Source organism: Homo sapiens, chromosome 7, assembly GCF_000001405.40.
Source record: "Homo sapiens chromosome 7, GRCh38.p14 Primary Assembly".
Lineage (NCBI taxonomy): Eukaryota > Metazoa > Chordata > Mammalia > Primates > Hominidae > Homo > Homo sapiens.
The window spans coordinates 158,052,302-158,079,273 of NC_000007.14; the positions used below are offsets into that span (position 1 = coordinate 158,052,302).

The 26,972-nt window shown below is 54.9% G+C and overlaps 1 protein-coding gene across 13 annotated transcripts in view, besides 3 other annotated features; it reads right to left on the reverse strand.

Annotated features, from left to right (window-relative positions):
- PTPRN2 (protein tyrosine phosphatase receptor type N2) overlaps positions 1 to 26,972 on the reverse strand; it is a 1,048,768-nt gene that overhangs the window by 513,246 nt on the left and 508,550 nt on the right. The window contains exon 12 of one of the 13 annotated variants that reach the window (XM_011516447.3): positions 11,461 to 15,375. The exons of 10 other annotated variants lie outside the window; for them this stretch is intronic. In XM_011516447.3, the coding sequence (XP_011514749.1) occupies positions 14,987 to 15,375 (389 nt within the window). In that variant the 3' untranslated portion in view covers positions 11,461 to 14,986. Of the gene's footprint in view, positions 1 to 11,460; positions 15,376 to 16,593; positions 20,096 to 26,972 lie in introns of those variants that run through there. 2 more of the 13 variants (XM_047420680.1, XM_011516448.4) reach the window with 2 other exon arrangements.
- Positions 9,347 to 9,547: a silencer, noted in NCBI's record as "peak6878 fragment used in MPRA reporter construct". NCBI's record gives its function as "represses an SCP1 promoter by STARR-seq MPRAs in K562 erythroleukemia cells {active_cell/tissue: K562}" and the evidence as "EXISTENCE:reporter gene assay evidence [ECO:0000049][PMID:32103011]".
- Positions 14,568 to 15,521: an enhancer, noted in NCBI's record as "H3K27ac-H3K4me1 hESC enhancer chr7:157859561-157860514 (GRCh37/hg19 assembly coordinates)". NCBI's record gives its function as "activates a minimal SCP1, AML or CMV promoter by ChIP-STARR-seq in naive H9 embryonic stem cells {active_cell/tissue: H9 hESC(naive)}" and the evidence as "EXISTENCE:reporter gene assay evidence [ECO:0000049][PMID:30033119]".
- Positions 25,094 to 25,593: an enhancer, noted in NCBI's record as "H3K4me1 hESC enhancer chr7:157870087-157870586 (GRCh37/hg19 assembly coordinates)". NCBI's record gives its function as "activates a minimal SCP1, AML or CMV promoter by ChIP-STARR-seq in naive H9 embryonic stem cells {active_cell/tissue: H9 hESC(naive)}" and the evidence as "EXISTENCE:reporter gene assay evidence [ECO:0000049][PMID:30033119]".

The window sequence follows — 26,972 nt, forward strand, 5'->3', positions numbered from 1 at the left end:
AGGGAGTGAAGAAACCCAGGTATGAAAATTGGATTGCGAAAGTTAAAGACAGAGAGAAAGCCTTAATTAGATTCCTCTAGAAGCAGTGACTACTGGTTCTGTGGGTTATTGGGGGAAGTTCTTAAAATAATGAAATAAAATTAAGTGTGGTTTGGCCACCAAGAGCATCAGCACCAAAGGCACCCAGCCTCCTGGGGAAGCCCTGAGTCTCCGCCGCATGGATGGTAGAGGGGTGCGGCCGCTGCTTTGCCTCGTGGGGGCCGTGGAGGGGCGCCCTTCGGACCTCCTGGAGAGGGTAGAGGGGTGCGGCCACTAATTTGCCTCGTGGGGGCCATGGAGGGGTGCCCTTCGGACCTCCTGGAGAGGGTAGAGGGGGGCGGCCACTGCTTTGTCTCGTGGGGGCCGTGGAGGGGTGCCCTTTGGACCTCCTGGAGAGGGTAGAGGGGTGCAGCCACTGCTTTGCCTCGAGGGGGCTGTGGAGGGGTGCCCTTTGGATCTTTTGGAGACACCTGGCCACAGTTCCCAGCCACTCGGGGTCCACCACGTTCCCTCGAGGCCAGGCTCCACCCAGGCTGTCCCCAGCCTAGGACAAAGCTCCCTGGGCTACAGGGACAGCCCTCCCTGGCCAGTGCCGCCCTTCTGCGAACTGCACCTCGGGGGCTCCTGCTGGGGTCTGAGGCTCTGCCGCCTTCTCCCTGCCCAGGCTGGCCCCCATCGATCCCACCCTGGCGTCTGCTTCCCAAGCACCCAGTGGGCACAACCCCCAGAAGCACAGTCTCTCTCAGTCCTGGGAGGGGATTTTTTTTCAATTTCAAGTCATGTCAATAAAAGTGATTTTCATAAACTAACCTAGAGGAATTTTTATGGCTGGGGAGACACAGGCTTACCTGGGAATTTCTGAGTGTGCCTTCATGGTTGGGCCATCTGCAGCTGGGAACTAAAAGGCGCTTTAAAAATGACTGACACTGTAGGAAAATCTCACAACTGGAGCAGATGAGCCATAGTGACTGAGGGAGAAACATGAGCTGGATGAGAAAGGAGGGCCTGCAGGCACCACTGGAAGGGCCCAGCATCCTCTCACAGCACAGCGAACTCCGATGTGGCTCTGACTGTTTAATTAACGTGTAGCTAAAGATCACAGAAAAGGGGAAAACAGCGAAGACAGAAAAGAAAAGAATTCAGAACCAGCTTTAGCTTCTGATATTATGGGAAATTCTGAAGAGGAACGAATGGTATGACAAAATGGAAAGAAACATTTTCCTGGTGTGTTTTATAAACACACGTAAAGAGGTTCAATAGGTTTAATGTGGTAAAAGGAGATGTATTTAAACATGGCAGGCATTTGCCCGAAGCTGCTTGTAAATAAGCTGTGGGACAGCCGCTGCGGAAGATGCAGAGACCCCAGAGATGCAGAGACCCCAGAGATGCAGAGACCCTAGAGATGCAGAGACTCCAGAGACGCAGAGACCCCAGAAATGCAGAGACTCCAGAGACGCAGAGACTCCAGAGAGGCAGAGACCCCAGAGATGCAGAGACCCCAGAGACGCAGAGACTCCAGAGACGCAGAGACCCCAGAGATGCAGAGACCCCAGAGATGCAGAGACCCCAGAGATGCAGAGACTCCAGAGACGCAGAGACTCCAGAGATGCAGAGACCCCAGAGATGCAGAGACCCTAGAGACGCAGAGACCCCAGAGATGCAGAGACCCTAGAGACGCAGAGACTCCAGAGATGCAGAGACCCCAGAGATGCAGAGATCCTAGAGATGGAGAGACCCCAGTGATGCAGAGACTCCAGAGACGGAGAGACCCCAGAGATGCAGAGACCCTAGAGAGCATGGGGGCCCTAGAGAGAAGTCACTGACACACAGGTTTCGGCTAAAAGTTACTATTCTGATTAGGGCCTGTGTGAAGTAGGAATGTGCCTGTGGAGTGTGATGTGAACACAGCTCTCCGAAATTTTCCCATGCGTGGGCCGATTCGACTGTGTGCTTGTCCTGAGACCAAGAAGAAAACTGCTGAAGTCCCAAAGTGGGACAGGGTTGGGGACAGGACACTCCTCAGGAAAGAAAGGCCACACCCTTTCTGCAGACACTCAAAAAGACTGCTGTGTGGGATGGGGGACAGAGCAAGAGAGGAAGACACGAAGGAAAAACACACATTTACCGGCTGTTTTTGTCTGTGAGTCGAGTCTATGAAACATGCCGTGAGATTATTTTCTGCGGTTGATTATTCATGCAACGAACACGTCAGAACACCTTCAGGTGGCCCATGGGTGAGGTCTCGCAGGTGCAGCCTCCTCTCCAGAATCTGGCAACCAGGAGAGGCCCTTTGGCGGGCCCAGTAATGGGGGTGCATGCACCTCTCTGCCCATCCCACACCTCTACACGGCTGCTCCCAGGCACCAGAGCCTCCACCTACCCCAAACCAAGTCCTGCCCATAGTGTGCCCCGTAGCACCGTCAGCCCTGCCTTCCATGATTGCAGCTGATGTGCCTGGGGGCGCGGGCACCATTAATTCCTGTATCTTCCCCTCTGTCCAATCCATCACCAAATCCCACTGCTGGCACCTCCAAGACACCTGCAGACTGCAGCCCGCACGCCAGTGCCCAAGGTCAGGCCAGGTGGCCCCTGCCTGCTCCCCATCCTTCGTGCTCTGCCCAGCCGTCCCCTTCACTGTGGTCAGAGCTGTGGGCGGTAAGCCACCCAGGTGCCGAGGCAAGAGACTGAGGGCACGAACTGTTCCAGTGTAATAAAATATGTAAAATAAGAATAGTTATACTAGATCTAGATCATAGATATGATTATATATGAATATCATTCATCATTAGTTTGTAGCAATTACTCTTTATTCCAATATTATCATAGTCTTTGCTCTATAATCATAACCTAGGAAAAACCAGGCCATACAGAGATAGTAGCTGAGGGGACACAGTGAGAAGTGACCAGAAGACAAGGGTGTGAGCCTTCTGTTATGCCCAGACAGGGCCACCAGAGGGCTCCTTGGTCTAGCGGTAACGCCAGTGTCTGGGAAGATGCCCGTTGCCAAGCGGACCGTGGTCAAGCGGTAGCGTCAGTGCCAAGGAAAAACACCCGCTACTTAGCAGACCAGGAAAGGGAGTCTCCCTTTCCCTGGGGGAGTTTAGAGAAGACTCCACTCCTCCACCTCTTGTGGAGTCAGGCCCACCCGCAGTTATCCGGAGGCCTAACCGTCTCCCTGTGATGCTGTGCTTCAGTGGTCACGCTCCTAGTCCGCCTTCATGTTCCATCCTGTACACCTGGCTCTGTGTTTTAGATAGCAGTAGCAAATTTGTGAAAGTACTAAAAGTCTGATATGCAGAAATAATGGCGTAAGCTGTCTCCTCTCTCCTCTGCCTCGGCTGCCAAACAGGGAAGGGCCCCCTGTCCAGTGGACACGTAACCCATGTGACCTTACCTATCACTGGAGATGGCTCACACTCCTTACCCTGCCCCTTTGTTTTGTATCCAATAAATATCAGCGCAGCCTGGCATTCCGGGCTACTACTGGTCTCCGTGACTTGGTGGTAGTTGTCCCCAGGGCCCAGCTCTTTTATCTTTTTGTCTTGTGTCTTTATTTCTATGATCTCTCGTCTCCACACACGGGGAGAAAAACCCACTGACCCTGTGGGGCTGGACCCTACACAGAGCGACACTTCTAACGGGGCCCTGTTCCAGACCCCACTGCCTGTGGGTGGAGTCCGGGCCGAGGCCCCTTCCTCTCTGTCTGGTTCTTGCTGCTTTTTTCAGTCTGGAATCTTCGGAGGCTCTTGCTCTGCTCTAATGCAGACCTTCTCCCACACACTCCCTCCACCTGGAAGCTCCTCCTGCCTTCGTATTGGCCTTGGTAACTCCCGCAGGTCCTGCTAATCTCGCCTGAAAGGTCACCTCTGCCAAGGAGTGTTACCCTGCCCCAGACAAGGTCAGATCTCCTTAATGGATGCCCTGAGCCATCACAGCATGGCCACCAGGCACTCCCCGGGGCCTCATCCACACAGAGGCCGGGAGCAGGGGGGCACACCTGGCTTGTTCTCTGTCCCCATGGGGGCGGCAGGCACTGGATTTGGTGCTCAAACAGTGGGTGCTCTCTCCGTCCTCCCATGAGCCCAGGGGAAAGTGTTGGGAAAAACACATTTGTAAAAATCACTTTTGTGTGCATTTTTCAACAGAACAAAATACTTCCACATGTGCCTGGGTTTAGGATGGGCAGGAGAAGCCCCTGAAAGGGTGCTCGGTTTGACGATGGGATGTTTTCGTGTGCATCCCGTCACCAGCCACAGCAGACCCGTTCTCCACAAAGCTCGGTCAGCTGCTGGAGCAGGAGTGTGCTGGACTCCTGCTGCTGCTTCTCCAGCGTCCAGTGAGGCCTATTTCTTATAGCTACATTTTGCCAATGCTTTTGAGTGATTCTTGTTCAGTGCCTACAATCAACACAGCAGGACAGTGGCTCTCCCTGGCAGTGCCTCTCATTGACCCCCTTGGAGTCCTTACAGAAGCTGCACATTAAGTCCCACGCATCATCCCAGGTCAGGGGACGGTGAGTGGCCATCCAGCATGGTGGAAGCAGGTGCAGCTGTGCCACCCACATCGGGACGCGTGCTCCACTCGTGGCATTCCAGGCTCACAATGTCGCCCTTATCCGATGATCAGCCACCTCGGATGTGTCCATCAAGCTTTTAAAATTCACAAACAAAAACAAAAGATGCACTAGACCCACCCAGCGACCCCAAGGTCACGCCCTCTGTGGTTATTGGCAACTCGGGGACGCTGCCCAGCTCCCGATTCCGCTCAGCACCTGTGGACGCGGGAGCATCTATCATCAATCCTCTGCAATTCTATTTTATGATAAATACAGAAATGACCCTTAACCCACCTTTCCCTCCTTTTTGCTTTTTCCTATTGACACCTGCCCAGCACATCTGCCTCTCGGCAACCACAGAATGAACCAGAAACTTTGCTCTTCTGCTGTGCCCACAGGAAACTGAATCTCCTGACAGCCTCCCATGACTGTTCTGCTAGAATCGTCAAACTTGGGGAAAAACAGGATTTGAGATGAACTTCCACGTTACAGGCAGCAAAGCCCAATGATGATGGTCTCTTTTTCAGGACAAGCATTTGGATTCCATAACACAGTCAGTCACAGACCGAGCAGGTACACCCGAGGAATAGCCTCTGCAGTCTCACCTGCTGGCCCCACAACAGAGTTCTGGATTCTTTCCTAGTCTGTGTTTGGGAAACACACGTAACGCTGTGGCACTGTGGCCTGGAGTGGGTGAGGCAGACGGCCAGCTGCCCTCCCCTCCTGAGCAAAGGGAAGTGGGTGCATGGAGGACCCCAGAGAGCCCAGGCCCCACTTCCTCATGAGGAAAAGGACCACAGCAAAGTCTCCAAGAACCCAGCCTCAGCATCCCCGCCACTCCCCAAAGCTCCTCAGCGTGGCTGCTTGGGACCCCTCATCTGCCCCCATCTGCCATGTTCATGTGCACAAGGTCCACAACGGCAGCCAGACCACACCTGGAAAGACACACAGCAAAAGCTTCCCAAGGAACACGGGCCGTGAAGGAGTTAAAGTCCTCAGGTCTACGAATACGACATTATCTTTTTTTCCTTGTTTCCTGCTAATCTGTTTAATGGGAAAGTTTCCCTCCTCACAACCCATATACAGAATGCTTCCTTAGTTGCAGGCTTTACAAATAATTATCTAGAAATAAATAAGTACAATGATCTATTGTAAGTAAATCTGCATAAAGAAGAGTTTTCTTTTCTTCCATGAAAATCTAGCCACTTACTGCAGTAGAATCACTACACTCCATCTGCGCACGGTGACGCATCACTGCAGCCACACTCCATCTGCCCACGGTGAGACATCACTGTAGCCACACTCCATCTGCCCACGGTGAGACATCACTGCAGCCACACTCCATCTGCCCACGGTGACACATCACTGCAGCCACGCCCCATCTGCCCACGGTGAGACATCACTGCAGCCACACTCCATCTGCCCACGGTGAGACATCACTACAGCCACGCTCCATCTGCCCACGGTGACACATCACTGCAGCCACACTCCATCTGCCCACGGTGAGACATCACTGCAGCCACACTCCATCTGCCCACGGTGAGACATCACTGCAGCCACACTCCATCTGCACACAGTGACGCATCACTGCAGCCACACTCCATCTGCACACGGTGAGACATCACTGCAGCCACACTCCATCTGCACACGGTGAGACATCACTGCAGCCACACTCCATCTGCCCACGGTGAGACATCACTGCAGCCACACTCCATCTGCCCACGGTGACACATCACTGCAGCCACGCTCCATCTGCCCACGGTGAGACATCACTGCAGCCACACTCCATCTGCCCACGGTGACACATCACTGCAGCCACGCTCCATCTGCCCACGGTGAGACATCACTACAGCCACACTCCATCTGCCCACGGTGAGACATCACTGCAGCCACACTCCATCTGCACACAGTGACGCATCACTGCAGCCACACTCCATCTGCACACGGTGAGACATCACTGCAGCCACACTCCATCTGCCCACAGTGAGACACCACTGCAGCCACACTCCATCTGCCCACAGTGAGACATCACTGCAGCCACACTCCATCTGCACACGGTGACACATCACTGCAGCCACACTCCATCTGCCCACAGTGAGACATCACTGCAGCCACACTCCATCTGCCCACAGTGAGACACCACTGCAGCCACACTCCATCTGCCCACGGTGACACATCACTGCAGCCACACTCCATCTGCCCACAGTGAGACACCACTGCAGCCACACTCCATCTGCCCACGGTGAGACATCACTGCAGCCACACTCCATCTGCACACGGTGACACATCACTGCAGCCACACTCCATCTGCCCACAGTGAGACATCACTGCAGCCACACTCCATCTGCCCACAGTGAGACACCACTGCAGCCACACTCCATCTGCACACAGTGACACATCACTGCAGCCACACTCCATCTGCACACAGTGACGCATCACTGCAGCCACACTCCATCTGCACACGGTGACGCATCACTGCAGCCACACTCCATCTGCCCACGGTGACACATCACTGCAGCCACACTCCATCTGCCCACGGTGAGACATCACTGCAGCCACACTCCATCTGCACACAGTGACACATCACTGCAGCCACACTCCATCTGCACACAGTGACACATCACTGCAGCCACACTCCATCTGCAGTGACACATCACTGCAGCCACACTCCATCTGCCCACGGTGACACATCACTGCAGCCACACTCCATCTGCACACGGTGACACATCACTGCAGCCACACTCCATCTGCCCACGGTGACGCATCACTGCAGCCACACTCCATCTGCACACGGTGACGCATCACTGCAGCCACACTCCATCTGCCCACGGTGACGCATCACTGCAGCCACACTCCATCTGCCCACGGTGACGCATCACTGCAGCCACACTCCATCTGCCCACGGTGAGACATCACTGCAGCCACACTCCATCTGCACACGGTGAGACATCACTGCAGCCACACTCCATCTGCCCACGGTGAGACATCACTGCAGCCACACTCCATCTGCACACGGTGAGACATCACTGCAGCCACACTCCATCTGCACACGGTGACACATCACTGCAGCCACACTCCATCTGCACACGGTGAGACATCACTGCAGCCACACTCCATCTGCACACGGTGACACATCACTGCAGCCACACTCCATCTGCACACGGTGACACATCACTGCAGCCACACTCCATCTGCCCACGGTGACACATCACTGCAGCCACACTCCATCTGCACACGGTGACACATCACTGCAGCCACACTCCATCTGCACATGGTGACACATCACTGCAGCCACACTCCATCTGCACACGGTGACACATCACTGCAGCCACACTCCATCTGCACACGGTGACACATCACTGCAGCCACACTCCATCTGCACACAGTGACACATCACTGCAGCCACGCTCCATCTGCACACGGTGACACATCAGTGCAGGGTAGAAACTCCCCCATCTCCCATGCAGCCCCCAGCGGCCGCCATCACAGGTCTCACTGTCTCGCCGTGTGTGTGTAACCTGCTTTCTCCCCAGCTCCCACGGCTGTGGCGGCACCTCTCCGTCTCTGTCTGCGCATGGCCGCTCTCTGTGTCTGTACCTTCACGAGGTGATCCCCTCTTCTGCTAAGGACACAGTCATGTTGGATTGGGACCCACCCTCATGGAGTCTGACCTCCTCTTATTGACATCTGCAAAGATCCTATTTCCAAATAAGGCCAAATCCACAGGTAGCAGGGGTTAGGTTTTGACCATAACTTTCTGGAGGTCTCATTATCCCCACAGCAGGTGTCACCCAGAAATGGTTGACAGAGTGTCCACTGCACACCAGGCAGCCTGCTAGAGACATTGCATTCATTACCTTTGCCTATTTATGAATATGGGAAGGTTTTGCAAAGCGATGAATGGCATGGAAAGAGACCATGTAGGCCTTGCTAAGAAGGATGGCCTGGAGGGATGAAGAAGGACCTTTCAAGGCTTTTTGTTTGAATCGAAAGTTTCCTTTATTAAGTTATTTTACCAAGTGAGCTTGTATCAAGGCTGAGCTTTCAGCGCAGTATTTATGAGCTGCATTTCTTTCAAAACATTCTATCAAACTGACATTTCCTTAAATCAGACTGACCTTCCACAATATGGAATAAATCAGGTGGTTTAACTCTACTGACTAAAGAGTGTTTTCCCCAACCCTGAGCCAGGCGGCTTTGTCCGTGTCGCTCAGCTGCCGGCTCACTGAAGGGTGGTCATGGAAGAGCAGGCCGCCGTCGGGCGGTGACTGATTACAATCATTTGTTGTGATGCATCGCAAATTAAAGGGACAAGCCCAGCCAAGCTGCTCCGCTCAGAGAGTGCGCGTCCCGCCTCTGCAATTACTGATGTGCACAAAGGACCCAGGGACCACTTAAAACAAGGGGAGGACTGAGTCCACGCAGGGATGAAGCCACAGGCACAGTCCCCACGTGCTTGACAGTGGCCCCGCAACCCACCTGCTCCAGACACCTGTTCCGAGGGAATCTCTCCCATCCACCTGCCGCTGTGGCTCAGACCCCAGGCACAACACAAGCGCTCGGCAGAGAAATGGACCGTGCCGCCAATGCACTCGGCGCTGAACCATCATTGAGGAGAGACCAGCTGCTGCTGTGGCCCCTGGGGCTGCAGCATAAACAGTCGTGGTGGCAAAGTGGTGTCCACAATTACTTGTGTCGTCCGTGAGCACACTGGCTGTGGACGGAGGAAGGCTGTGGCTCCAGGATTGTCATTTCAGCACCGCTGCCCATGGTCCAAGAGCCGTAGCTGAGATGCAATGGGGGTGTCCTTCATCACCGGTCCCCAGGACCACACCTGAAGGACCTAACAATGATCCTGATGAGAAGGTTGTTAACCTGTCAAAGCATCAAGATGAAACATCACACAAGACGCTCTGAGCAGGAACCCACTAGTGACAGGGCCCTTCGATCCATGTGGAAGTGCCTAATGCCACTTTTTTGATGAGCAAAAATGGCAGCTAATAATTTAAGGCAAAAAAGGAACACAATCCAGTATGACAGTTTTTCCCCAACCAGAGGGAGTGCCCATGCGTGGTGTCCCACGAAGGCGGAGCTGGGCATGAGCACGGCCATGGTCCTGCTGTCAGAGCAACCTCATTCCACGGGGTGAGCATCTCGCACCTTGGTGCGGAAGCCCAGAGCCCACGCTGACTTCTGCAATAGCCTCAGTAAAGCGACGGGCGACGGCCATGGCACAGAGCACTGAGCACAGAGGTTATCTGAGGTGGCTTCGCATCAGCTCACAGCAGAGGAGCGTTGGCCCAGTTCACAGATGGAGAAAACAAGGCTGGAGGAGACCAACGTGTCCAACATCACAGGTAAGTCAAGGCTATGGGACTGAAACTCAGTCCTGTGGACACCAGCCAGGGCTGCAGGTGCTGGCTGTATTCCTGCTGTTACAGTCAGTGCACATGTGTGTGGGGCTCTGCAGTTTCCCAGGTACTGTCAGTGGCAGTGAAAGGTGATGGCGTGCTGGCAGCCCTTGCAGCCCTCGCTCACTCTCAGCACCTCCTTGGCCTTGGCGCCCACTCTGGCCCTGCTTGAGGAGCCCTTCAGCTCACTGCTGCACCATGGGAGCCCCTCTCTGGGCTGGCCAAGGCCTGAGCCGGCTCCCTCTGCTTGTGGGGAGGTGTGGAGGGAGAGGCACAGGCAGGAACTGGGGCTGTGCGTGGTGCTCACGGGCCAGCACGAGTTCTGGGTGGGCGTGGGCTCGGCAGGCCCCACACTCGGAGCTGCCAGCCAGCGCTGCTGGCCCCAGGCAGTGAGGGGCTTAGCACCCAGGCCAGCAGCTGCGGAGGGTGTGCCGGTTCCCCCAGCAGTGCCAGCCCACCAGCACTGCGCTCAAATTCTTGCTGGGCCTCAGCTGCCTCCCCATGGGGCAGGGCGCGGGATCTGCAGCCCACCATGCCTGAGCCTCCCCTTCGCCATGGGCTCCTGTGCGGCCTGAGCCTCCCCGACAAGCGCCGCCCCCTGCTCCGCGGCGCCCAGTCCCATTGACCGCCCAAAGGCTGAGGAGTGTGGGCTCACGGTGCACGACTGGCAGGCAGCTCCGCCTGCGGCCCTGGTGCAGGATCCACTAGGTGAAGCCAGTTGGGCTCCTGAGTCTAGTGAGGACTTGGAGAACATTTATCTCTAGCTAAGGGGTTGTAAATACTCCAATCAGCACTCTGTGTCTAGCTAAGGTTTGTAAATACACCAATCAGCACTCTGTGTCTAGCTCAAGGTTTGTAAATACAACATTTAGTGCTCTGTATTTAGCTAATCTGATGGGGACTTGGAGAACATTTATGTCTAGCTAAGGGACTGTAAATACACCAATCAGCACTCTTGTGTCTAGCTAATGGTTTGTAAACACACCAATCAGCACTCTGTGTCTAGCTCAAGGTTTATAAATACACCAATCAGCACTCAGTGTCTAGCTCAGGGATTGTAAATGCACCAATCAGCACCCTGTCAAAAAAGACCAATCAGCTCTCTGTAAAACAGACCAATCAGCTCTCTGTAAAATAGACCAATCAGCAGGATGTGGGTGGGGCCAGATAAGGGGAAAAAAGCAGGCTGCCCGAGCCAGCAGTGGCAACCCACTTGGGTCCCCTTTCACATTGTGGAAGCTTTGTTCTTCTGCTCTTTGCAGTAAATCTTGCTGCTGCTCACTCTTTGGGTCTGCACTGCCTTTATGAGCTGTAACACTCACCATGAAGGTCTGCAGCTTCACTCCTGAGGCCAGCGAGACCACGAACCCACCAGAAAGAAGAAAATCTGAATACATCCAAACATTAGAAGGAACAAACTCGGGACACACCGCCTTTAAGAACTGTAACACTCACTGCAAGGGTCCGTGGCTTTATTCTTGAAGTCAGTGAGACCAAGAACCCACCCATTCTGGACACAGCAGGTCAGGGAATGGGGTGCCCTACAGAGTTTCCAGAAGGCAACCACGACAAAACCTAATACCAATTAGCTAATGACCATTCTACACACTTACACACATATGTATGTGCTCAGAAAGTGAGACACACTCAGTGAGAGACACACACTACATACAATCACTCACACACACAGTGAGACACGGGCTCATACAGCAAGACAACACACATGCTCAGTGAGATACCACAATTCCACCAGCAGGGACCATCTCAGCAGAATGTGGCCATGCAGGGGCCTGTGCCTGCTGCTAGAGGCGACGAGGTCTCAGCCTCTAAGTACAAACCTTCCCACATACGAGGACAGAGAAACCTGGGGTGAATTCCACATAGTTCATCTAACAAACAGGCATCCCGAGCAAGTTGGGGTTTAACCGCATTGACTCTGGCAACCTGAACATGTGCTGGGTGTCCAAGTCCAGGGCTCAGAAGCAGCTGGAGAGCCCGGGACATGCACAGCATTCTCCTGGGGACGTCTCTCAGGACCTGTTACCCAGACGACCAAGACGAGATGCCCAGGACAGCCACAGCCCCCGGGAGAGCATGGGAGGTGCATGAGGGAGCTGTGGGGCCAGAGACTGGGGTCACAGCCATGGGGGAGCCGGGGGAGCCTGGGGAGCCCAGCGCTGTGAGGTTGCTTGGACACACTGGTCACGCCGGACACTGCCCCATGGTTTCCTGTCCAGCTGTTTCCTGGAATCTGGCTGCTAAAAAGAGAGCCATCTACACACTGTGTCTGAGGGACGCCAAGGACTCCTTCCTCCCCAGATGCTCCTTTTTCTTCTCCTCAGGGCCTCTGTCATCTCCCACTCACCAAAGCCCCCCCTGTGCCAGTGATTTCCAGAAGCTGACTGGTGGGGGGGACATTTTCTACTTGCAGGGGAGGGAAGAGAAAGGGTCACCCTCCCCGCAACAGAACTGACTCCTGGCTCAACCCCATTCTCCTCCAAGTCACAGCGTGGCTCTGTGATGACTGCTGGGCTGTCGGGTGTCCCTGGGGAAAGGAGTGCCAGGGCCTCCTGGGGATGGGGCACAGAGTGGCCAATTTTATGGATGATGGATGCTTCACCTGCTTCCAAAGGGGCTGCAGGCAGCGCAGGCATAAACACTCAGCTTAATAAAGACCAAGGCTGAGAAACAAGTAATCCAGGGGAAGAAAGGCAGAAAGATGGTGCTGCGCATCTGGTAATTGACTGTAATCTGGCATACTTCTGGGTGAGAGAAGCTAAGCAGGTGAGCACAAAATCTGGGAGTGAGATTGCCGACTCGGGACGAGAGAAACGCCTGACATGGCAGTGGCTCTGACTGTCTGGTGGCAGGAACCATGCAGTTCACCAGGAACACCAACGTCTCTCCTGGTCATGGGCCCCAAGATGCACTCAGGCGTGTCCTGGCTGAGAGACTTGGCGGAGCCTCCTCAGCAGCTTCAGGTGAGTTTTCTCAATGAGTTTCTTACCTCGCACCCTTCATGAAAACCAAGGACATAAGATCATGGGGGAGTCCTGTAAGGTCTACCGAAGACTTACTCCAAAATGCAACGTGCAGAATCCTGCAGTGAGCAGGGGCATGGTTTGCGGAATATGGGCCTCCAGAAGCAGCTGTGTTCACATGGTCATCTGACCAAGTCAGAGCCAAGTCTCAGGTCAGTGCTGAAAGGGCCCTGGGCTAACGGGCTGCGGCCAGAAAGACAGTGGCTGGCGGGGCAGATGGAGCCATCAGACCCGGGGGGAGGGCAGGGGCTGCCACCACCACACGGCCCCCACGGGTCAGACCAAGGTTTTGTATTTCACAACCAGCGGATAATGAGTTGAGTTGTTCACTAAACTGACGCTCAGAACTCTTATTCATTTTCAGAACAGTAAAGTCAAAACTCCACGAGGACCTTAAAAAAAACCATATTCTGGATTTAATTACAGATAAAAGAAATCTGACTTCTATTAAAAGAGGAGAAATTGCGTATTTAAAATGGAAATTACCCCAGAGCATGGGAATGGCACTGTCTTTCTGTCTTATTTTAGAATAAGAAATTATGTGGCCATTCAATTCTTGAAGAAAATGTTTTTAAAAGGGAAGAGGTGGATGGGCAGGAATGCATGCAAAGAGTTTCGTTCAGGGAAAGATCCTGCCCTGGCTCTCTAACCTCACACAGGGACGGGCTTTCTTTCCATGCCTCAGTTTACCTATGTGTCCCACGTCCCTCTGACATGACGTTGTATGTTTCCATTTATTTCCTCTGAAAATCACATAATATGCTGCTTTGTTTCTCTAGCAAGGAATGGCTGTGAGCTTGGGGGTCTTGAGGCTCGGAGGCATCACAAAAAATAAGACTCCGTCAGCAAGATGGTGTGCCCCCTCTGCCTCCCTCTCCGTTCCCAACCACCAGCCTGGGATGGCACCTTCCATGAGGTGGATGAGTCCCCTCCATTCAAGGCCTTCTCTGCAAACAGCCACCCTTCTGGCTCCAGGATGAAATGAGGCTCTAAATATGGGCTGCCAGGCTCAGGGCCAGGGCCGACAGGCACACTGACCTGCAGCATGGCTACCCCAGGCTCTCTCTGGCAGTTTTGCCACAGAATGTGCTCTAAGCTGTGCTGCTTCCTTTCCTTCAACCACCTCCCAACTCCTCAGTATGGAAGGGCTCTGAGTGCTCAAAGGAACACAGCCTTTTCAGCTGGTGTCACAAGACATTTACAAAACACCGTGGAGAAATTCCAAAACCAGGCACTGTAGAGAGACAGAAAGTAGTTTTCCCTACAGGAGAACGTTAACGCTAAGATCGGCTTTAGAAAACACACACCTGACACCTGAGTTGTGGTGACTCTCACCTGGTGAAGTCCCTTACGAATACATCCTTACCCAGATTGTATACTTTATGGGAAAATTAATAATGCCAAGCAGACGGCAAGGCTGGCAGGTGACTCTGGACCTCAGGATGTGACACAAAGGACTGGTCCTCGTGACTTGAGCACATCCCTGGGACATATGGGGTGGCTGAGGGCTCTGCAGAGAGAAACACTTCCTCAGTGGGGCCCTAGGCCTGTCAAGCGGGAAATAAAGACGAAATCTTAAGCAGATTTTCAATCATCTTCCTTCAATATCAGCAAATCCCACAAAAATTACAGTAGGGAGTAGTTATAGGTTGAAAGGTTAGAGCTGGGGAGAAAAGCAGGCTATATTTTCCTGTTTTCATGAAATTTCTCTTCTTACACCTGGCACCTAAGCAGCCTGCTGCTGTAGTTACTGTTCAGGTTACTATGGCCACAGGAGGGCTGAGGCATGTTAGATGGGTGGAGGGCAAGGGAAGGGTTGAGATGCAATTCTTATTTCCACGTATGTGATAATGCTGTTGCAATGCTTTTCAGCGAAGCCTCCTCCTGCACCCAGGGTGTCTCCTGATGCAGAGGGGCCGTTTCCAATGCCTTGCAGTCGTCTACCTTCCCTGCCGCTGCTCCGGCCAGCAGGCATTTGCTGAGTGTCTACTGTGGAGGAGCTCCCAGCTGGCAGGGGGCAGGGGTTTGTCTTCAGGAGCTCTTGGACTGCAGCTGTGAGTGGTACTCGGCTCCAGTGCCATTGAGGTCCCTGGGGGCTGCTCCCAATGGCTTGCTGGCCTTGCCTCCAGGACATGTTCTGAACCTCTGGGGTGGGGCCCAAGAGTCTGCGTTTTTAACGACCTCCAGCTGGTGCTCAGGGGCCCCGTTTGCAGAACTGCTGTTCTACAATCTTGAGAAAAGGTTTCTGTAACGGGCTGGAGAGTGAGTGTCGGAGGCTTTGTGGGTCGGGCAGTCCACCGTGACCACGCAGCTCTGCCTGTGGCGAAAGCTGCCAGAGACAAGGCGTGAAGGAGTGAGCGAGTGACAGAGTGAGTGAGTGAGCACTGTTCCCACCAGGCTTCCTTCCCAGAGCAGCACACCGGGTCAGGCCGGGCCGCGGGCAGCACACCGGGTCGGGTCAGGCTGGGCCGTGGGCAGCACACTGGGTCACGCTGGGCCATGGGCAGCACACTGGGTCACGCCGGGCCATGGGCAGCACACCAGGGCAGGCCGGGTCATGGTGTGCTTAGAATTTGGTGAGGCGGCAGGGTCGGGGCAGACAGGGTGGGGTCTGAGGACAGCCGCTGAGGCTCTTCCTGTGGGGTGGCATGGACCTTGCAGCTGGGAGATGGCAGGACCGGGTATGGGGAAAGGAGGGAGGAAGGCAGGCATGCTGGGCTGGAGGAGAGCTGAGCCAGGGTGGGCAACAGGACTTGGTGGGGGTCCAGGCTGTGCAGTCCCAGGGGAAGAACGGCCCATGCCAGCGGCCCTGACTGAGCAGAGCAGGCCAGAGCGTGGGGACTTCATCCCTCAGTGTCCCTGTCACTCCTTCAACATGAAGGAGAAAGCCATGAAACGACGCAGGTGGCTGTCTGATCAGGCCCACTGGGTGCTGAGCTTGCTGTCCCCGTGGGGTGCCCGTGCTCATGGCAGCCGAGGGTACGGTGCAGTGCACAGGAGGCCCAGGCCACAGCTCCCACGCCAGGACCATTAGGGACCCAGTGCAGTGGCTGGACTGCAGCTGGGGCAGGAGCTGCTGAGGAGGTGGGTGCCCAGCACCACCTTTGCACTCGGCACCACCTTTGCACTCAGCAGAACGGAGGCCGCGTCCTCAGGGAAGCATGGGCCTGCATTGGTACGGCTTCACTTTAAAAATGCATCATCAAACCCCGCAAACCACTGGAACCGGGTGCCTATTGAATGTGAGCACTCAGCCCAAATCATCACTGTGAACTAAGGTATCTACACCTGCTTCATTCTAAACAGAAATGCAGATCTCTCTAAGCAGGAAGCACCTTAAGCTCCTGCCACCAGCATTCATTGGGGGATGTCATTTTGGTCGGTCAAGGGCTGTGAAGCTGATGGGATTTTCAATTTGTACCATTTTATACCACATGAGGAAATTGTGTAATTACTTTTGCCCATGACTTCTCATTCTTAACTTGCTTTCTCATGGATTACAACTGTAATAAGACAAGGTGTTGATAGAGTGCAAACTGTCTTTAAATTTAAAAGGTCTAATTGTACATCCACCTTTAATCAGTGCTAAAATATCAACACAGATTGAAACTTCCCTTCCCAAGCTGCCTGCCAGAGGATGTGATAACCCTGCTGCCGACACCATCTTCACGTGCTCTCTGTAAGCCGTGGGCTTTGCATCATACGAATCATCGCATCTCGTTAGTGAAGCGGCCTCATCTTGACACTGAAGACAGTCCAGGGAGGAGTGAGCAGCACTGCAAGAAGATGTCTTAGTGCCTGACACGGTGGGTCTTATCAGCTCAAGATCCTCTCCCATTCTTTTTAAACAAAATTTTTAGAGATAGGGTCACGCTCTATCACCCAAGCTCAGGGGCAGTGGCATGGTTGTGACCATGGTTGTGACAGATCACTGCAGCCTGGAACTCCTGGGCTCAAGAGATCCTCCCACCTCAACCTCCTGTGTGGGACTTACAGGTACATCACCACGCTTGGCTAAATTTTTAAATATTTTTGTGGAGATGGGGTCTCACTATGTTGCCCAGCCTGGTCTCAAACTCCTGGTAAGTGATGCTCCTGCCTTGGCCTCCCAAAGTGCTGGGATGACAGGCATGGCCACCACACCCCCACCTTCTCCATTCTTTACCCCCCAAAGTGCTGAGATGACAGGCTCGGCCGCCACGCCCCACCTCCTCCATTCTTAACCCCCAAAGTGCTGGGATGACAGGCATGGCCACCACGCCCCACCTCCTCCATTCTTTACCCACAATTGTTGCTATTCTTCTAACCCCATGACATCTTACTGTCTGCTTGTAGCCAAGTAAAGAACACTACTGAAAAGAGAGTACTTCATGAGGATTTGCCATGGCATCTTTCCCACTCCAGGCATTCGTGGGATGCCCAGGCACGCAAGGCCAATGGACATCTTGAGTGAGCAATGGCAACCAACAACTTATAAACTGCTCAGACTTTACATTTTGCTCTCACATCAAATTATTCCCACTTCATTTGATCTGAATGCAGCCTCGCGGAGTGTAACTATTGGCCCTAGCTGACAGAGAAGGCACCCTGAGGTTTGAAAACAGTCAATGAGTCGTCCAAAGTCACAAAACAAGCAAATAGCTGGGAGGGTGCTGTGAACTCAAGTTCTAAACTCCAAGCTCTTGTTTTTCCTTCTTCCATTTTGCCAACCTCAGGTGCCATGAAGTGGCACAGAACATCCAGGCAGGGCTGGAGAGGCTGATACCTGACCTAGATTGGTGCCTAATCCATGGGGCACTGCACTATGGCCAACACAGCAGACATCCAAAAGCAGGGACTGACCTAGAGTAAGGAGGCTCCATTGCCCTCAGCTTCAGTAGGTAAGCAGCCAACTGCTGTAGAGGTGCTCATGGTGATGGAGGTGCTCATGGTGGAGGTGCTCGTGGTGGTGGAGGTGCTCCTGGTGGTGGAGGTGCTCGTGGTGTGGAGGTGCCCGTGGTGGTGGAGGTGCCCCTGGTGGTGGAGGTGCCCGTGGTGGTGGAGGTGCTCGTGGTGGTGGACGTGCTCGTGGTGGTGGTGCTCGTGGTGGTGGAGGTGCCCGTGGTGGTGGAGGTGCCCGTGGTGGTGGAGGTGCTCCTGGTGGTGGAGGTGCCCGTGGTGGTGGAGGTGCTCCTGGTGGTGGAGGTGCTCCTGGTGGTGGAGGTGCCCATGGTGGTGGTGGAGGTGCCCGTGGTGGTGGAGGTGCCTGTGGTGGAGGTGCTCCTGGTGGTGGAGGTGCCCCTGGTGGTGGAGGTGCCCATGGTGGTGGAGGTGCTCCTGGTGGTGGAGGTGCCCGTGGTGGCGGAGGTGCCCCTGGTGGCGGAGGTGCCTGTGGTGTGGAGGTGCCCGTGGTGGTGGAGGTGCCCGTGGTGGTGGAGGTGCTCATGGTGGAGGTGCCCGTGGTGGTGGAGGTGCCCGTGGTGGTGAAGGTGCCCGTGGTGGTGGAGGTGCCCATGGTGGTATGGAGGTGCCCGTGGTGGTGGTGGTGCCCATGGTGGTGGAGGTGCCCATGGTAGTGGAGGTGCCCATGGTGCTGGAGGTGCTCCTGGTGGTGGAGGTGCCCGTGGTGGTGGAGGTGCTCACGGTGGAGGTGCCCGTGGTGGTGGAGGTGCTCATGGTGGTGGAGGTGCTCGTGGTGGAGGTGCTCTTAGTATGGAGGTGCTCATGGTGGTGGAGGTGCTCGTGGTGGTGGAGGTGCCCGTGGTGGTGGAGGTGCTCGTGGTGGTGGAGGTGCCCGTGGTGGTGGAGGTGCTCGTGGTGGTGGAGGTGCTCGTGGTGGAGGTGCTCTTAGTATGGAGGTGCTCATGGTGGTGGAGGTGCTCGTGGTGGTGGAGGTGCCCGTGGTGGTGGAGGTGCTCGTAGTATGGAGGTGCCCGTGGTGGTGGAGGTGCCCGTGGTGGTGGAGGTGCTCGTGGTGGAGGTGCCCATGGTAGTGGAGGTGCCCATGGTGGTGGAGGTGCTCGTGGTGGTGGAGGTGCTCATGGTGGTGGAGGTGCTCGTGGTGGAGGTGCTCGTGGTGGAGTTGCTCCTGGTGGTGGAGGTGCTCGTGGTGGTGGAGGTGCTCGTGGTTGAGGTGCTCGTGGTGGTGGAGGTTCTCATGGTGCAGGTGCTCCTGGTGGAGATGCTCGTGGTGGTGGAGATGCTCGTGATGATGGAGGTGCTCCTGGTGGTGGAGGTGCTCCTGGTGGAGGTGCTCCTGGTGGAGGTGCTCCTGGTGGAGGTGCTCGTGGTGGAGGTGCTCGTGGTGGTGGAGATGCTCGTGGTGATGGAGGTGCTCGTGGTGGTGGAGGTGCTCCTGGTGGAGGTGCTTGTGGTGGAGGTGCTCCTGGTGGTGGAGGTGCTCGTGGTGGTGGAGGTGCTCATGGTGGAGGTGCTCGTGGTGATGGAGGTGCTTGTGGTGGTGGAGGTGCTCCTGGTGGAGGTGCTCGTCGTATGGAGGTGCCCGTGGTGGAGGTGCTCGTGGTGGTGGAGGTGCTCGTCATATGGAGGTGCTCATGGTGGAGGTGCTCCTGGTGGAGGTGCTTGTGGTGGAGGTGCTCCTGGTGGTGGAGGTGCTCCTGGTGGAGGTGCTCGTCGTATGGAGGTGCCCGTGGTGGAGGTGCTCGTGGTGGTGGAGGTGCTCGTCGTATGGAGGTGCTCATGGTGGAGGTGCTCGTGGTGGTGGAGGTTCCCGTGGTGGTGGAGGTGCTCGTGGTGGTGGAGGTGCTCGTAGTATGGAGGTGCTCATGGTGGTGGAGGTGCTCATGTAGGATCTAAATGCCATTCAGTTGAACCTTTTGGTTCTGCTGACCAGCGTGCATTTAACCCACTCATCCTCACCCAAGGACTCTTGTCCAATAATGCAAATACGTAGAATGCTGTCCTGGCCGATAAGTCCGAGGCCTGATGGTGTGCAGTGCCCTCCTTATTAAGAACGATTACAGGGCCAGGGGACTCAGATGCCAGCCTTGCCGTGTGAATCATCATGTAAATTTTCAAGAATGGGCCTTCAGAGCTTTGGCATTCCCGTGCTGGGAGGAAAAGTGCAAAGAATCAGATGCAAGGCCTGAGAGCCCAGGGGCCTTGGGCAGGTGTTGACCAGGTAAGACCTGCCTGTGACAAGCGTCCCCAGCAGACAAGCTTCTGAGCAATTGTTTCCCAAGTGCTGAATAGCCTCATGCTGGTCCCAAGTGCTCAGGGACCCCTCCCTACCCATCCCAGGCAGCTCTCGGACTTCACTGAACCTCCCCTGCCTTCCAACCAAGAGCTGCTTCTCCGGAGTCCTGGTGTCAGGAGGAACTTTCCTGGGCTCACCAAGGTGACTCTGTGTTAGTCTGATCAACTGTGCACTCACAGGGGACACCAACTGCCAAGGGGTTTGTGCCACACACTCCAGCTGCTGTGTAGCCCTGTAGGGTCCCCAAAGCACAAGGAGACAACAAGGGAGAGTTTCAGATGCCAACGGGCTGGCGGAACATAATTTTTTAAATAATTGAGCCCTTCAGAGTCTCTCAAAAGTCATAATATTTGGACAATTCATGTCTCAAGACCTGAGCTTGTCCCAAGGGGCCCATAGGTATGGCAGAGCAGGAGAAACCCTCTGCCCTGCCCAAGATGGCCCAGGCTTGTGACCTGGTGCAGCTACAGGGCAGGACTCCTGGGCCGACCACCAGGGACAGAGGGCAGTGGCTCGGCTGTAGCTGAGGCAGGATCTGCTGGGGAGGTAGGTGCCCAGCACCATCTTTGCACTCTCCATCACCTTTGCACTCAGCACCACCTTTGCACTCAGCACCATCTTTGCACTCAGAACCATCTCGGCTCCTCTGCCCCTACTGCTTCTGTCGAGTTGCCATGGGAACTGATATTGGTAGAAGAACTCCCAAGAAGTGGCTTCTGGCAGACATCGGCCTCCCCTCAGCTCAGAGACAGCCTGTGAGCCGCGGCTGCAGGAGGAAGGAGCATGGTGGGCACCTGTGTGCTGGCTGGAAGTTGTGTCTCCAGGTGCCCGGGGGAGGGTGTGGGCCCATGCGTTGGCTTCAGGGCCGCACTGGCCTCTCCCTGCAGGCTCCAAGTGCACCTTCCTCGGGCACCCCTTGCTTTCCTCCTTCAGGTCTCAAAGCTATGCCCTGCCCAGCTGCCCTGCAGAACACAGCCCTGATTTAAAATGAGCCACTTTCTGCTCCGGTATAAAGACACTACCCTTTCTATGCGGAGATGAAGCCGCTTCCTACTAAGGTATGAAGACACTGCCCTTTCTATGCGGAGATGAGGCCGCTTCCTACTAAGGTATAAAGACACTACCCTTTCTATGCGGAGATGAGGCCGCTTCCTACTAAGGTATGAAGACACTGCCCTTTCTATTCAGAGGTGAGGGAAAGAGTGGAAACAGCATTCGCTTATGGACAAAGAGGAAAAGAAAAGGCTGTGAAAACAGGCATGGCAGCCTCGCATCATGGAAGGACCAGGGCTTCAACACAGCAAAACAGAGAGCCAAGTGGACAGCAGGCTCCTCCAGCAAAACCTGAGGCCTCGTCCCCCAGGCCCACAGCCCAGCGGCATCTTCACCAGCAGACGCGGCTCCCCTGGGACTCCCCTCCAGCACAGCTCATCTCCAGTGGGCTAGGACGGCTACCACAGGAGGACATACGTGTCCTGGCCACAGCCGCCAGCCATCCTGCCGTCCTCCCGTCAGTCTCTAACCCCACGGGGCCTGGGGCAGTGAAGACAGAAACCCATGTGCAGGGAAGAGTAATACTTGGGAAACTCAGCGACGCCCACAGTGTGCTCCATGACCGTCACACCGTCAGCAAAACCCCCTCCTGCACATCCAGGGTACAGGGCCTTCTGCTGGATTTCACCTGCCCCGGCAGCCGACTGCACCAGCATCACAGCCTCCTGCCGACGATCCCTCTGCTGGGAGGCTGGGCGTTCCGTGGAGAGAACAGCTGAGACCCCCTCGGCAGCTTCCCAGGCAACAGAAGGCGCAGGGAGGTGGTGGTGATTCACTGTGTTTCTAACAGGTCCTCTGGCCACGGAAGCCTCCTGCACATGTGAAAGCCTGCAGAGAATCCCACGCACTTCAAAACTCTCACTCATGTTTTTCAGAAGCGGGTTTTACAACTTTTGGCATGAAAAGGTCTTAGTGGCATTTCTATGGGTGTTTATCTAGGCTGCTCCCAAACCCCAGCCAACTAGGGGTGAGCTCCCGTGGCCACCTGTGACAGTCAGCCCCTCGCAGTAGACGTGCCGACGTGGCTCCCGAGGTGGAGGGGAAGCTGGAGGCCCTGGGGGCTCTTCTCCCTGATCAGGGTATGAATTCTAAATGAACGTGAAAGTGAGGATGAAATGGAACCTGCTCTCCCCAGCAGTGAGTTGGAGGGGGGCCAGGTGCTCCCCAGCAGTGAGTCGGAGGGGACAAGGCAGCACCCTCTGCCAGCAGGATCAGCATTGCTCGTTCATTTGCAGGTGAGAACGAGCTGCTCCCATGAGTGGTATGTCCAGTGCATAAACCCCCTCTGTGTAAAAATAAACACAGAAAAGTGGCTGCTGAGCAACGCAGTTTCCTAGCCCTTGGTTTAGCAGTATCCCCGAGTGTCCCCCACATGCGGCTCCTGGCGTTCCACGCTGGTAGCCCTGTCGATGGCGATGCAATTATTTTCTACCACAGCGTTGTGTTGTCTGCGCTCAGGGTAAAGCCATGATGAAGGCGGCTTTCGGGACTTGTAATTACAGAGCCATGGGTGGCCTCTGTCCTCGCAGCCGGGAAGGTCAGCACAGGTCCTGGGTGCTGCCAGCCCTGAGCTCCACTCCTGCAAACACTTGTCAAAATGCCAGAAGTAATTACCTGGCTGTTCAGAATGGAGTCATGGGGTGCAGCTCCTACCATCTCCGATTCCCTAAAGCCTCCATCCAAACCGAAACTTGTTTACAACCTCCTGGGGCTGCAGCCACAGGGCACCTGCTCTTTGGCAGCAGAACCTCGCCATAGTCCTTACCAATGTTCCTGTCTGCTGGTCTCTCCGGCAGCCCAGGGGAGGCGCTCCCGTGCAGGTGGGAGTTCTTGTTCCATGTCCAGCCCACGTGGCCCTGGACACAAGCTGGGGCTGGTTCACACACTGCAGGCCCCCTCCCCGCCCCCAACGCAGCAGGTCCAGCAGGAGACGGGCACTGAGCCTGCGGGGCCCACTGTGCAGACCCCACCAGCACCACCGGCCCACGCTTCCCACGCCGCGCCCTCCACTTCTTCATCTTTTTCTCTTAGAGGCTCCTCTTTTTAGTTACTCCTCATCGTCTGTGTCTGTGCCGTGAGTCAGGGATGTTCTAAGAGCAGGAGGAGAGCGTGGTGCTTCCCTCTGAGCATCTCCCTCGCCCACTCTGGGTGACACCTCAGCCAGGCGAGCTGTGGGATCGTCAACCTCATGGCTGCGGAGCAGCAGGATGAGCACGAGCCCCACGCCAGCCACAGCTGGAGCCCAGGAGCCCCCAGCCTGCGTTGATCCTGGCAGCAGCTCAGCTCCATGGAGGACGTGACACAGCGGCCCACGTGCAGCGGAACCTGGAGCCGGGCTGCCCAGGCCACACCTCCAGTCTCACTGCTCTGGCGCTGTTTCTCAGCTGCACCCTGGAGGTCTGGCGAAGGGGAGCGCTGGGATCCCTGTGCCTGGAAGACCCTTGAGGAGAGTGCAGGTCCTTGGAGAGTCACTTTCATCAGTCTGACAGGTGTCTCATTCACCTGCACATGGAGGCAATTTTCTCAGCAAGTGGCTGTTTTGAACATTTCCAAAGCATCCTCCTTCATTTCTAATAAGAGTGCAACTTCCCTTCCACACTCATGGCTCAGGAGTTCCTCTTGTCTTGCTCCAATCTCTTAATCATGAGGGTGGTACCGGAGCACGGATGGGCTTCGGGCCCCACCAGTGCACAGCTCCACCCGGCCTGGCCTCCCTGGGGAGTGGGTGTGTGGGAGCGTGGATGGCTTTAGGCCCCACTGCTGGTGACCAGCATGCAGCTCCACCTGGCGTGGCCTCCCTGGGGAGCTGGTGCATGGGAGTCAGATGAGGAACGTCTGCCGCTTGTGGACCAATGCTGCAGCAGCAAGGCACCCCTCCCCCTCCCCCGGGGCCAACCTGCCTGTGTCCACCTCAGCGGAGCTGATTCCATCAGCTGCAGTGAAACTCAGGCCCAAGTCCTTCTTAGTGGCTGCTGAAGATGAAGTTCCCACACTATGAAGTCCGATTCTGAATTCCACCTTGCCAGCCTCTTACTGGCATGTCCTTGGCACACTGGACCCCACATCCAGGCTGCACCATTCTCATTCCTCTCACCTTCAGCCCCTGAGACCCACGCTAGTCCCTGTGCTCTGCCCAAAGGCCAGCTTCTCTGTGGAGCCTCATCTAAGCCCTGCCCTGCCCTCCCCGATGTGCCATCCACTGCCCCTAAGAACTCCCGTCTGAACAGCCCTGGCACCGGGGTTGGGGGGAGCTTCTGGAGGGCAGGGCCACTGACATCCAGAGTGATATCACCTTAGGAAGGTGTGATGCATTGCCGAAGACAGAATCCGCACGGAGCGGACCAGACTGTGAAGCACCGATGCCTGCCTGGGGTCGATAGTTAAGGCTGGCTGGATTGTAAGTATGTGTTATAAAGGAATTCACTTCACTTTGCCATTACGCTTTTCAAAATAAGCACGTTTGTCTGCTTTATGAGAGGCCAGAAGCCTGGGCAGCCCTTGCTCCAGCAGAGAGGCCTGTGACTAACGCAGAACGCTGCGGGCTATGGGGTCCAGGCATCGGCACAGAGTCCAGTTCTGAGCCGGGATTCAAGAGAGGCTCACAAGAGAGGAGGGGAGCCTCTTCCTCCATGTGGACCCGCTACATATGAGACGTGAAACACAGACAGCAGCACAGCAGACACGACCCTGTTCTGACACTCACCAGCTTCACAAAGATGCCGAACAGGCAGAAGCAGGAGGACGTCACGGAAAGTCACCGTACCTCTGAATACAGAGGCGCCGCTACTGAAATGACACGGGGCGCCTCTCCAACAGGCTGAAAGAAACAATGGCAGCTGAATGCCGTGTCTTAGAGGCTGTCAGGTGGAGGATGCTGAGGTCAAAGGGGGAAACTGCTCAGGACAGGAGCCCCCCATGAGCCTCACCCCACCATTCAGGGTCAGCACAGGAGCCCCCTATGAGCCACACCCCCACCACACAGGGCTGAGTGCCAGAGACACACCCTCCGTGGCGCCCGAGAGGGAATGTTTGAAGAAACAGCCTGAACTCGGCCTGAAGGAAACGGCCGAGCATGGGAGGGGATTCCTGGCAATAAGCTCATAAACCACAGGCAGCCCCACAGGCCACCGGGTGAGGGTCTCTGCAGACTGGGAGCCAGCAAAAGCAAACAGTTTCTAAAGGATGATGAATTTCCTTTTCTTTGAAAGGAGCAATACAAAAATTGATCAGAAATATACTATTTAAGAAGAAACTACCAAGGAAATGAAGAATAAAAAGGATTTTTCTCTTCTGCCAGTTCAACTATGTGACTGAGCCACGGAGATTAAACGTAGCTACCAGTCATTTCTATGTACTTTGTGGTAGAGTAAGTGCCTCCTTGAGCAAAACCCACTTATTTTTAATATTCACTAATACCCTGTGCTCATACCCAAGGTCATAAATTAGCAGAATTCCCGGGAAAGCATTGCCTACGATAAAGAGGAGACGCTGAGTAATGGAAAGCAGCTGCCCTTCTCATTCGGCATCAATACCACGTGACGTTTGATGGGGACTAATGTGGGATTAACTACACGCCTATTCATTAGGTTTTGTATCATTTTGTATAAAATTAGCAAAATGAATGCCCTTTGAATTCTACCGCCAGGGTGATCTCCCCGCATTAATAACAGCAGCCTCAGGTCCTCAGGCCCTTGAGGGAACCAGACGCCAGCAGCCATTGGGCTTCCAGGCAGCTGGCAGGTGGCAGGTGCAGGCAGCACCCAGCACTCCCAGTAATTTCAACAGCAGGCTCTTGAGTTCTGTATGTTGGTAACACAGGCACCACCACACGTCCTTCCATAGGTGTCCGCCCATCACCACAGGGCGTTTGTGATGACACTATTAGGATTCCACATCATCTTTTAAAACACAAACCATAAGAAACTCCTTTTGAATTTGAAATTCTTCCCTGCTATCATGTCAGCCTGTCTACGTCTCACCTGAAACTCAGTAAGAGGCTCCTCTTCACCGTGCTAAGCACTCTCCCAAGGCCAATGGGCCAGTCACCGTGCTAAGCGCTCTCCCGAGGCTGATGGGCCAGTCACTGTGCTAAGCACTCTCCCAAGGCCAATGGGCGAGTCACCAGTCACCAACCGTGCTAAGCGCTCTCCTGAGGCCGATGGGCCAGTCACCACACATGGGCATGTCCACTGCCTACCTGCAAGATCTTCACAGTCACAAAATTCTTTTTTATAATCTCTTGGGTTTTTTTTGTTTCTTTGTTTGTTTGTGAGACAGGGTCTCCCTCTGTGGCCCAGGCTGGAGTCCAGTGATGCAATCTTGGCTCACTGCAACCTCTGCCTCTTGGGTTTAAGTGATTCTCCCACCTCAGCCTCCCGAGTAGCTGAGGTTTGAGCCACCACACCCAGCTAATTTTTTTGTATTTTTAGTAGAGATGGGGTTTCACCATATTGGTCAGTCTGGTCTTGAACTCCCAACCTCAAGTGACCCGCCCACCTTGGCCTCCTAAAATGCTGGGTTTACAGGTGTGAGCCACTGCACCCGGCCAATCTGTTTCTTATATAGCATCAGGCACGTTCATGACACCATAGAATTATTCAAAATAATTCTTTAAAAATCATGCATGAATGTAAACAATTTTGCACACGTTCAAGAAGCAAGAAACATTCTGACTCACA